Below are 13315 nucleotides of genomic sequence, written 5' to 3' on the forward strand. Positions count from 1 at the left end.
GTTACAGCAGAAGAATCATGGTCTTTGTAACAACTGTAGTTTAACTTCCCATTTTGCTATTTATTTAGTCATTGTTTAGTATTTTGGTCTTTATTATCTTATTTTGTTCTTGCGAAGTTAAAACATGATAATCTTGGTGAGGCACCTTGTGCATTGCCAGGTAGCTGCCAGGTATTTATCTTAAATAATCTGCCTTCCATGGATTTCTTTGCAGTGAAATATTACACATAAGTTAAAGAAAAAATATTGAAGTGGCACTTTAAGAAACTGCATGAAAATTGAAATTACTGATTGAACTCTTGAACTTAGAAAACACAAATCATCTATATTAAAATTTATACATTTTTTCTCTCTCTCTCTCTCTCTCTCACACACACACACACACACACACACACACACACACACACACTTACTTGTATTATACAAAAGCCAGTTAATGAGATGTAAAATAAACTTGAAGCCCGATGTGGCAAAGACCAAAGGAAACAGAAGAAAGAAAAATCTGAGATTAAAAAAATAAATTTGTTTTTCCTTATATCCTATAGGTAGCTTTGAAACTTTGTGTAATTGATATTACTTACTATTCATTAATTTTCTGGTTATAATTCTTTAAAGACAAAGTCAATCAAAATGTTATGTTTGCTGTTTTTTGTACAGAAAAAAATCTCATTTGTTTCCTCTACCAATAAAATGCCATGACAATGTAGAATAAATATATAATTTACTTCATAGTGCAGGATTATGCTGAAGTATACATGAAACTATTGTCCAATGAAACTGCTTTGGTATGATAAGTTTTTATATAAATATCAACCTGGACACATCCGGTATAATTTTTATTTTGTAATGTTTGGCTTAACCAGTGCACTCTCTTTGTTACCATTTACAAATGACCATGCTAGCTATTTCTTCAGTCTATGGAGAAACATGGAAGCCTAAAATATTTTTTTAAATAGCTATTTCCTCATATCTCCTAGGTAAGACATATCCAAAGCACGACAAAAGAAAGCTACCCTGTCTTTATATTAAATCTTGTTGAGGAATATTTATAGCATCCCAGAGTTATAACTATTTTAGGGTGACAATGCAACTGATGTTGAGCAATTATGTTCTGCTGCTATATCCTATGTCTATGGTCTTAATTATTAAAAACCAAGAAATATAAACCTAAAATTGTTGACTGCTACCTAAAGATAAAGATCATTATTAAAATACTGATGACAAGAAGTTTCATTATTAAAACAATAATGTACAACTATGGATTCACTTTAAAAACTTGGTTTATTCATCTGTATTCAAGAAACAGAGTTAATATCAAAGAAGGCAAAGAATATTGAAGCATATTAAGGAATGCTGTGATTTAGCATTTGTAGTCATGTTAATGGCATCAGACTATAAAATTATAATATTCCCTCAATTTAGCCACGTAAAAATAAATCACTTAATGACAAAAGTACATATTTTAGCAATCTGGGATTTCATGTGGAAGAAATATTGATTTGCCACTGCATCTGCATGTCAACTCACATACTTGAGTAAAAACTAGTATTTCTGAGAAGACACGAAATCACTTTGAACCTATTAAAATGGACAAAAGTGACAATCAGTTGATGATATGAAATGCGGTCTTTTGAGCCAAACTTTGACAATTTATAATTTTCTGTTGTGTGATAAATTTTAAATGGAAACAGTTGCATAACTCACTAGAGTCAGAACATACATTATAAATAATTTAGTCCATACCCTTTGATTAATCGATAATTGGGAAATAAGTGAAATGTCAGAAGTCTGCCAAGTAGTTATTGGGTGAGCCAAGACTCAAATCTAGATAAAGTATTTATTCTACTATACAAATTAATGTCATTAAAATTATTGCTTTATTTATGTATTCACGTGAATATTCTCTAAGTGTTTTTAAACACTTACAATGTACCAGGCCCTGTGCTAGGACCTGGGGATAAAAATGGAAAAGATATGGGTCTGTCATCTAGAGATACTGTGGTTTAGCAAGGGAGTGAGCTACTAATATGAAGAAGGAGAAGGAGAAGGATAAATTATTATAGTACAGTATGATAATTGTGCTAAAAGTCATCACAGAGTTCTAGGATTGTGCCCAGTACCCTTTGACTAGTAGAGAGGGGAGAGGTCTCACTTGAATTACATCCCTTCTTATCTGGACTGTTGCATCTTGAAAGATCTCGCCACTTCCAGTTTGACCTTCCTCCAAATATTTCCTCCAAATTGCTGCTGGGGTGGTCTTTCTAAAATCTGAAATTTAATCAGAGCACTCACCTGTATAAGAACCATCAGAGTTTCTCCATTTCTTCAAAATGAAGTTCAAATTCATTATCTTATCATGAGACCTTTCATGATCTGGCTTTAGTCAATCACTCCAGCCTTACTTCCTGCTACTCTTTCAGAAACATTCTCCAATTCAAAAGCATAGATCTACTTATAGTCACCTCTAGGTCTGGGTCAAAGAGCTTGAGAGCATTGTAGCTCGAAGGCCACCATTAACTCAATGAAATCAGCAGTAATCTTTAAAGAAAAAAAAAAAAGAAAAATTGGCAATAGGAGTCCTGTGGGAGAAGTTAAAGTTTGTAATAGTGACTAAGATGATAGGGAGAGAGGAATTCTGGGCCGTTAATAAATCAATGATAAGGTACAGTTAGGGCTAAGCGTGCTTTTGTTTCCCTAATAATTTATGTGTAATTTAACAACTAAATTAATTGAAAACCATGTTTGAATCTCACCTTACCAACTGCCCACCTGGTTGAAAATTAAATACTATTGAATCTTAAAGACAGGTATTTTTTAGACCAATTTATATATTTTGCTGTTCATGTTATAGATTTCAATTTGACATAATAATTCACCACAATTAAAAATGTTCTTGAAGTAAAAGATATTTACATGTCTAACATATCTAAATAGCTTGAAAAATTACATGAAACATTAGTACATTTTTGGAGACTCTTATCTTGCCCTTATTTTCCAAAGGATAAGTTCTTGAAATTGAGTAAACGACAGAAATAGCATAGCTAGATTATAATTTTGAATAATGCTGAATACTTTCTGATCTGGAACCTGTAAAACGTGGCTGTAGTGAGGGAGCTACTCTTGGTTGCACAAGGGAATTGGGAACTGATTGTGGTTACGTGAAAATCGTAAATGTCGGATCTCAGTTTAATTGTGGTAGAAATATGTGGTAGATGATTCTGAGTATTAAACAGCTGTGTAAATATTGGAAGAGCAGAAAATCTAACATAATACAACAAATACATAGATCTTCTGATGTTCTTCTTTTTAAAAAGCTGTAAATTAAAATCCTGTGTAGGAAAAATAAAGGTAAGATGCAGTGTACAAATCAGGGTTTCTCAACTCTGGCTACACATTGCAGTCACTCAGGGAGATTTCAAAATAAACTCATATCTGGGTCCCACTGCTAGACATTCTGCATCAGTTGGTCTGAGGTAATGGCTAGGCATTAGTATTGCTTTTCTTTTCCTTTTTTCTTTTTAAGATGTAGTCTCACTTTGTCACCCAGGCTAGAGTGCAGTGGTGCAATCTTGGCTCCCTGGCTCAATGCAACCTCCACCTACCGGGTTCAAGCGATTCTACTGCCTCGGCCTCCTGAGTAGCTGGGACTACAGGCACCCGCCACCACGCCCAGCTAATATTTGTATTTTTAGTAGAGATGGGGCCACCACACCCGGCCTTAGTGTATATCTGTTTCTGCTGTGCAACCTGAGTTGAGAACTACTGGTTAACATAGATGAAAATAAGGTTCATATATTTCAGTTATAAAAAATAAGGCAGAAAACTTATCCAATGTTATTAGAATTTTTCCTTGCATAGCTATCATGCAATGATGTAGTTAACAAAAATTAAATTGCTTACCTGCAATTTTATGATGAAACTGACCAAACACACCTTCCAAAGATCAATGGAATGAAGGCAAAATCAGATAGAAGTGTATTTCACTGTCTTTTGTGATTTCACCTCTACCTGACTAAAACTACTAATGCTCAGGAGAACGAATCAACTGACAGTGCATTTTTATATACCCCGTGAAGGTCTCATAAATAAGACATGGCTGAAATTAGGTAGGAGGAACATTTATCTTGAAAATCCAAAATTCCTAAAGCAAGGGATCATATACTGCATATGTTACCGTCATTATGCCAAAGGAGCAATGTATACACACACATACACACACACACACACACACACACACACACACACACACACACACACACACACATATGACAGACTTCTCCAGCTCTCTGAACTACAAGATGCTTTATAAAACCTTCACATGGGCCAGGCGCAGTGGCTCACGCCCGTAATGCCAGCACTTTGGGAGGCCGAGGCGGGCGGATCACGAGGTCAGGAGTTTGAAACCAACCTGACCAACATGGTGAAATCCCATCTCTACTAAAAGTACAAAAATAAGCCAGGCGTGGTGGCATGCGCCTGTAATCCCAGCTACTCAGGAGGCTGAGGCAGGAGAATCGCTTGACCCAGGAGGCGGAGGTTGCAGTGAGCCAAGATCTTGCCATTGCACTCCAACCTGGGCGACAGAGTGAGAGAGCGAGATTCCGTCAAAAAAAAAAAAAAAAAAACCTGCACATGTATATATTTCACCAAACAAATATAAGCACAAACAAAGGAATGCAGCTGTCTTAAATAGTCCCCATCTATTTGGTGTAGATGTATTGCACCATTTTTCCCCGGTGCAAGAAGACTAGACATGTTTCCAATAGAGGATTCACCTCAAAGCGTTCAGCTTTGCCACCATCAAGAATATTTGAAAGAATGTGCCACACAAACACAAAAATTAACACTTATTGTGAGGCCACAAACGTTAGCTGAAACCTCATTTCTGCCTAACTTCTATAAATATTGGCAATTTCATTGATAAAATTTTGATACTTTTCCAGCTTCCTAGGATTCTTGTTAGGATTAAAAACTAAGCTCCCTGAAGGGAGAGGGTTTTGATTATTTTATTACCTGCTCCCAAGCCTCTGGAACAATGTTTAGAACTTAATGCTAGGTCAATATTTGTTCAATGAATTATTGGAACATAAGGACATATGACTGACTACCTTGCACTTAGGAGTTGTTCAGAAAATTGTAGTTAGTATTATTTCTCTTTTATTTTATTCATTTCAAGAGATGCTTGCCTAACTTGAGTTGCCAAAAAAATGAGATGGGATACTAAGACAGCGGAAATGGGTCCTTCAAAAAGATTGTCTGTTTCTATATTGCAATGATATCTGAAATCTGATGCTGTGATAAGAACCAAAAACTTATCAGGGGTGGAAGGATTTTGCCCTGAATGAGAGGAGGCCCCGGTGAAGATGGTGTCTTATAATATTTGGTCATCATATGCAGGGCTGGCATCTTTTAAAGTGTAGCAGTTTTAGACCTAGACTGAAAATCCATTATATGTGTCGTATTCCAACCTCTTCCCAAACAAGACTCGGATTGTCTCCTATGGTTTCTGGTCACAAAACAGATAAAATAAAACCATCCCTCCTGTTACCCTATTCAGAAACTCTGATAGCATTCTTCATATCTCTCATTCTCAATATAAATCACTCTCCACCAAAATTTGTTTATTCTCCTTGTCTCTACTCAGACACCTGCCCAACCCTACTCAATGTAATATTTTCTATATGTTATAGCCAGAATGATCTTTCATAAAGGTAAAGTTGATAAGTATCCTGAAGTTTTAAAAAAAAATGGTACATTCTCTTTGCCCTTGAGGTAATGTCAGCATACTTTAAAAGACTTACAAGGTTTTTCATCATTTTGCCCCTTTGGACTCTATAGGAAAAATACGTGTATGCACACACATACACATATGTGTGTCTATTTTCATTTATGTCTAACTGAAATTTAGTATTTGCTTCATTTGGAAATACTAGCCACACTAATTAGTGGCTATTGAAAGAAACTGTTACTTTATCACTTGAAGTTACAAATATTTTCTTATTATATTATGGTTTTTGTAGGTTTCTCAGATATTATTTGCATTCATTGTCACTCCAAAATTAGGCCTGCCACTATCTCCTGTCATGTAAGTGTCAATAAAGAATTACATGTTACTATATTGCAAATTCATTTTATTACTTTTTTTTTTTTTTTGAGATGGAGTCTCACTCTGTCACCCAGGCTGGAGTGCAATGGTGCGATCTCGGCTCACTGCAACTTCCGCCTCCCCGGTTCAAGAGATTTTCCTGCCTTAGCCTCCTGAGTAGGTGGGGTTACAGGTGCATGCCACCGCACCCGGCTAATTTTTGTATTTTTAGTAGAGATGGGGTTTCATCATGTTGGTCAGGCTGGTCTCGATCTCCTGACCTCATGATCCACCCGCCTCGTCCTCCCAAAGCGCTGGGATTACAAGTGTGAGCCACTGCACCCAGCCTATTATGTTTTGATTATTGCCTTTCAATATAACTGGTTTTCATCATAATTCAATGAAGTTTTATTTTGTGCATATATAAACATTCCAGAAAGGCATCCATAATCACCAAATGCCAAAGGAGTCCATCTCTCTCTCCTGTACGCACACACAATGTTAAGATCCTCAGGACTATATTGTAATACCTTGCATATTATTGTTCACTTGTTTTCCATGTAAAATGTTTACACCATTAGAACAGGTTTTGTTTCAGAATGATAACCTCCCAGACTGATTCAGTAGGGACTAAATTAATATGCATCTAATTAAATTGAAATGAAACAAAGCCCCGAGATACGGACAGAATTTCAGATGGTAATTTTGAGAACACCTTTAGCATTTAGTAAGGTGGTACTCTTTAAACTCATGCTATGTTGTCAGTATTAACATTTCCAAAGTCACTAGGTTTAAATTTTAGAGACTTACTTTCTGACTACCGGCTCCAAGCATTTATTTTAGCCTATGTGTACAAACATTCAGACTGGCTATGTGATGGAAAAGTAAAAAAAAAAAGATGACTTTTGTCCTGGCCCTCAAAATCTTATAGCTTAAGATCTAATTCTCCAAAAGTAGACAAAAGTTGCTTGAGTATTGGGTTGCACTTGTTTGTATAGTTTTTATTCAGATAAGAATAATGAAGACTCTTGTTCTCTCTTTCTATCTATTCCTTTATAATAATAGTAATCATCATCATCATCTCAGGCAACAGCATCCTCAATGCGGTAAATTTTGCCTATCATATAAAAAATACATTTGAATATATAGTTGTATCATGTTTACTTTCACTTTTTTGTAACATTTCAAAAAGTATTATTCTGCTATGACATTTTTTGGGCTTAGTCATAGAACAAATGTGAGCTGTTAGGGAACTTTAAATGTCTTAGTTTTATTGTTTATTTATAACTAAAGAGCATTTTTAGTCTACTGTAAAGGCAAGTTATCATATGCTAAACAACATAAAAATGACTGAATATTAAAGTTAAAACTTTTTTATGAGAAAATGAGAGACCCCTATGTGATTTATTTTAAAATAATCATTGCATATGCCCTCACACAGAAAATCAGAATGGTGTGATTGTTGCCTGCATGACCAAAATCGATTCTGCCTCCTTTGTGGTTAGCCAACACAGTGACTTCAGCACCTAGTAGACACAGGTTGTGTAGTTGTAGTGGTGCATCCTTAGTGTTATGCTCTCCATTGCTGGCAGGACAGATTCTTTCATGCTTGTCTTCTTTAAAGCATTGACTTAATTTTTCAACTGAAAACAGTAAGTGACAAATGGAGCACAGAGTATTTTAGAACATACCCAGAAAGAGCACTTAAAGACAATAAGAAATACTCAAATAATTGAAATAGGAATATTTTTATTATTATGTCATTAAACTAGCTGGTGCTTATCTGACATTTCCATGTTAGACATCCGTGCTTATCTAACATTGTAATGTTCCACGTTCCAAGTCTGTTTTATCTTGACCTGTGCACTATTAAGTACCAGCAGAGAGTGATCAATATTATTGTCCAAAGCAGTGCATCACAACCTTTACTGGGCACTGGAAACACCTGAGGATCTTGTTAAACTGCAAATTCGGATTCAGACATGAGGCTGAGAGTCTTGTAAAAGAAAAATTGAACAGATCGGTTAAACAGGTAAAGTAGACTTTATTGAGGACTGTTGTAATAGGAGAGAGTTTCATCTCAACTCTTCCACTGAAGCAAAAGGTGAAAGGATTTTTAAATGCTGGGGTGAGCTAATGGAAAAGTACTGGAGGACATAGGCAGGATGGAGAATGTGATTGGGCTGGTTAATATGATTAGGCCACCTGTGTTTGCTAATGGTACCTTATCAAAGTTAGGCTCCTACACTCCTATAGAGACTGGGAAGTAGGGCCCTATCTTTCTTGATGATTACATTTCAAAGGATTGGCGCCCAGGTCCTTGAGAAAGAATTTCCTAGGTTGTAGAAGGTTTACATCTGAAAGGGGCAGAGAAGGAATTTACAATTGCAAATTTTCCAAAGTAATCGCTCTACAAAAAAGGAGGTAATAGGCCTATCTATAGTCAGAAAGAAGCTTGTCTAAAGTTGGGAGGGGGGGACCATTAAGGCCATTGTGGTCAGTCAGTATTTCTACAAACTCCCAGGTGGTGTCAATGCCATTGGTCTGCAAACCACAGGTCTGCACTGTTACACTGATAGGAAAGATTCCATATTGATGATTCATGTTAACGCATTTTCTAGCTTATACAGTGTACTGTATATAGAAGTGTGTATTTGAAATGGTCAATACCATTGTCTGTCTAGATGGATAATAAAAGTTGTTGTGTACAATATTTATAGAATGATATCTTTTCATACTTCTAGAGGCCTACTCAGAACATCTGAGTCTCTCCTGATGAGATGAAATTTGGAATAAGTTATGTCCCAGAATTCAGGACACATTTGATGTTTAACTTATTTCACTATGAGAAAAGTAGTGTTATAATGATGTTCCACAGTTGTATTTTGTTTTAATTATTCTCATTAAGCCCCTAGCAAACAGGTTGCTTCATCATTTTTTTCTTTCTTTCTTTTTTTTTTTTTTTTTGAAATGGTGTTTTGCTCTTGGAATGCAGTGGCACAATCTCGGCTCACTGCAACCTCCGCCTCCTGGGTTCAAGCAATTTTCCTTCCTTAGCCTCCCGAGTAGCTGGGATTACAGTGCCCGCCACCACATCTGGCTAATTTTTTTTGTATTTTTAGTAGAGACGGGGTTTCATCACGTTGGCCAGGCTGGTCTTGAACTCCTGACCTCAGACGATCCACATGCCTCGGCCTCCCAAAGTGCAGGGATTACAGGCGTGAGCCACTGTACTGGCTGATTCGTCCATTTTTAACAGATGAAAAAAAAACTGTAATCAATTTTGGTCAGTGACAGTGCAAAAAATGCAATTTAATACTACAAATACTTATTACCTGATAAAGTTCTCAAATAATGAGCTAAAATAGAATGGATATGCCAAAACTGTAGCAAATCATTAAAGACAAAATAATAACATTCCAGGGACTTAAAACAAATTGAATTCTCCAAAGAACATTATTATAAACTAATATTCCTAATTGCATAGGAATGGAAGATTTTTTTTTTTTTAATGTTAGTCATAGGAGTTTCAAGACATTTGAATCACCTGCGTGGACACTGGCTTTTATCCTATTAAATTTAATGTGGTAATTTAGAGTGTTTTTATTAGAATAATCAACATTCTAAAATGCAATCATTAGCATATTTGGCATAGAAAATAGATCTGAAATGAACCCAAAAAATGAGCTTTAAAAATTGCTAAAACTAGCAGTGTATAATGGTAACACAATCCAAAGGTCAAAAAACACAATGATTAATTAAAACTAAAGAATAATAATTAATTAGTAGTATTAAGAAAGCTTTGCCTCCTTTTCAAAAAAAAAAAGCTAAAAAGGAAAGTTGTTGAATGTTATTGTTTTTAAAGACCAGCTTTTCATGAATGAAGTTTTTAATCCTTTCAAAGCCTAATCTAAATTTAAGAATTCAAACAAAAAATCCCTAATATTTTAATTTGCAATCAGGAGAGGTTCAATCAGACTAAGACTTTTTAATTTGACAGTCTCCTTTTTAACACATAGAGCTACTTCTTTGATCTGCCTTGGTTAATGAAATGGATGAGTTCCAATAAATTTGGATGCAAAGTAATAATCAACAGAATTCCATTTCCCATTGATTTTCATTGTAAACTTGTATCACTTTTTTGACATAAAATAAGCACTCTCTGGAATGAATAATTTAATTTGAAATATGAATAAAAAATAAATTATGGTGCAGAATATTGCTAAGTCCTTCATACATTTGCAGCACTTTGCATCTACCACTGCTTACTTCCTAGACAGAGAACCATTTCCTATAATAATAGCTAAAACCCATGAAGGATTTCCTATCTGGAAATAGTTTCTATAACCTTTACATCTATTCATCTTCATGATTACATTGTTTAATGGGTACTATAGAGATCGTCAGCATCCCCATTTTACATAAATTGTAAGTGCCAGAGTTTTGGTTTAAACCAGGTTGTCTGACTCCAAACTCTTCACTTAAAAAATATATTTTATTTTTATAGATAATAATACAAATACTGAAAATATTTACAAAACAAATTTACAGGTAATGAACACTCTTATTACTAATGAAGGCAAATGCCTTTATTACTATCCTTGATGTCAGAAGCTAGAACCTTGCGAGCCATTCCAGAAACTTTCCACGTGCCTTCTTATAACCATCTCCGGACACACGCGTGCACACACACACACACACACACACACACACACACACACACACACACAACTGTGACCATTATGATGATTTTATTTTTTGGAATGGCATCCTTACTTTTCTTCATAGTTTTGTCACTCAAATATGCATCCCTAAACACTGTAGTTTAGTTTTGCCTAGTGTGTGTGTGTGTGTGTGTGTGTGTGTGTGTGTGTGTGTGAGACAGAGTCTCACCCTGTTACCCAGGCTGGAGTGCAGTGATGCGATCTCTGCTCACTGCAACCTCCGCCTTCTGGGTTCAAACGATTCTCCTCCCTCAGCCTCCCGAGTAGCTGGGATTACAGATGCGTGCCACCACACCTGGCTAATTTTTGTATTTTTAGTAGAGATGCGGTTTCACCATGTTAGCCAGGCTGGTCTCAAACTCCTGACCTCCTGATCCACCCGCCTCGTCCTCCCAAAGTGCTGGGATTACAGGCGTGAGCCACCGCACCTGGCCAGTTTTGCCTAATTTTTAAAATCTATTAAGTTTCTTTTAATCTATAGGTTTCTTCCTTTATCTTTTTCTTTTATTTAAACAGTATATGTGTTGAGGAAGCTAAATAGTTTGTTCTGTAGTCTTCCGTGGACTGGCTTTTGCTGCCTGTGTTTTTGTGATGCAATTTGTTTTGTTTCACTATCATCCGTATTCCCTATCTGCCTTGTTGCCTTGCCTGAAGATCACCAAATTTCAAGGACTTCTTTCCTGCTCTGCTCCAAGGCACTTCTCAGCCCACTCTGGATGTGCGTGGGTGGTGGCCAGTAGAGGTGGGCTGCAATTACTGGCTTCTTTAGTAAGAGCTGTGAGGTTACATATATTCAACTCTGGGTTTCTAAAGGCCCATCCAAGGACAAGTTCCAGGGAAGATAGGGCATGCATGAGTTTGAGGCAGAATGAGAAAAATAAGCAACATACAATACATTTTTTCATAAAATTAAATTTCTCCTTTTAAAGAAGTGTTCTTTATTATATTTCAGTTAGCCTACTGTTTCATTGGCATCGTTTCCCTTTCATTGTTTGTATTTTTGTTTTGGTGAAACAAAAAATTAGAAACCCAATGTCAGTCTTTGTTCTCTTCTTATGATGCTAATTTCCAAAATTGAAAAGTGTTGGAAACTCTGCTTTAGCCTTAAATTTTCTGCAGAAAATTACATTTTGAATTTTCATAAAAGAAATTATTGGTCTTAACCCATTCTGTATGATAATTTTTAAAAAAAAAAAACTCTCTAAAGTGTACCTTGAAAAATAGTACCTGTGATTTGTCTAAGCTTTTGAATAATTCATTCTATCTCAAATGTATTTCTACCACTAAAGTTGCTATACCACTTTATGGAAAGAAGAAAAGCAACTTTCCTTTTTTGTACAGGAAACTTGAAAGTTCATCTCATGGAAGGTGTGGAGAGAAAGGTGGCTATGTAATTCTCCTTTGGATATTTCTGGATCTGTTTCTCAATCAGATTGGTTCCGTTCACACTGCCTGCTGTCATGAAAGTTTATGCCTCGCATGCAATGCCAGCATAAATTTCTCAGCACAAAACAGCTCTGCTTGTTAAGGAAGATGTTCTGAATTATCAAATATATATTTTTTAATTAGCCACCCTTTCTTATGCTTTCAGAATATATATTAAAGTGATCTGGGGTATTTCATGTTAATGTAAGAAAAACAATCCAAACTCCCTTTGTTTCTTGACTTAGCTTATTATATCTTCAGTACTTGCAAACTGTGTGATACATGATCAGTCACAGCACACTGCTATTTACTGAGCATCCATGGCCACTGGCTGACGTGGCATTGAATATAACATTGTATTGTTGCTCTAAGCCTTTTAGCCTTCGTGCTAAATGACTCAACCCATCACAAGAAATTTATAATGGACATATAACTCACCTAGTTAGTCTGCATGAGATTGATTTGTTGTGAAGTTATTGGCTATAATGTCTTTGAGAGGATAGGCCTTCATTTCAAATAAAGACAGCCTCATTTATGGATTTCAAAGCATGTCTATACACTGTAAGTCTGTATTAAAGAAATGGGATGAAGCCAGCTGTTAAAAACAAGAAAATATGTGCAAAAGGATTTGGAGTTGACTGTATTATATAGAAGTATTAAATTAGGAGCTTTAGGGCATACTGAAGCTTCATATTGTTTGAAAGTTTATTTTGAATTCTGTAGAAAAATGAGTACTGTTAATTAGGTGATGTGGTTTCAGCATTCTCAGGCGTCTGCTCCCCACAGTATCAAAACCTTTGCCCAAGTCCACTCACTTTATTGTGACCCCTGTAGATGCTCTATCATTATGGTCCCTTTACCAAAAAAAAAAAAAAAAAAAAAAAAAAAAAAACCTTGTTGTCTCTCAGGCAACCAGCGCTTTTTGTCAGCCTATTTCATCTCCCCATCCCTTCCTACAATCGTTTATACTACTGAAAACTTGAAAGCCCACATCCCATTCTCTCCTGGATCTCTAGGCCTACCAAAGTTTCTTTCTAAAACCATGAAATGACCACAAGTTAATTTGATGAAGTGATTCATA

General features: G+C 35.8%; 1 protein-coding gene across 2 annotated transcripts in view, besides 1 other annotated feature; it reads left to right on the forward strand.

The window, feature by feature from the left end:
* The window catches only part of IL1RAPL1 (interleukin 1 receptor accessory protein like 1), a 1369273-nt gene that overhangs the window by 629964 nt on the left and 725994 nt on the right, over positions 1-13315 (forward strand). The gene's annotated exons all lie outside the window — the stretch shown is intronic.
* Positions 8020-8893: an enhancer, noted in NCBI's record as "OCT4-NANOG hESC enhancer chrX:29243546-29244419 (GRCh37/hg19 assembly coordinates)". NCBI's record gives its function as "activates a minimal SCP1, AML or CMV promoter by ChIP-STARR-seq in naive and primed H9 embryonic stem cells {active_cell/tissue: H9 hESC(naive and primed)}" and the evidence as "EXISTENCE:reporter gene assay evidence [ECO:0000049][PMID:30033119]".

This window comes from Homo sapiens, chromosome X, assembly GCF_000001405.40.
Source record: "Homo sapiens chromosome X, GRCh38.p14 Primary Assembly".
NCBI classification, from domain to species: Eukaryota; Metazoa; Chordata; class Mammalia; order Primates; family Hominidae; genus Homo; species Homo sapiens.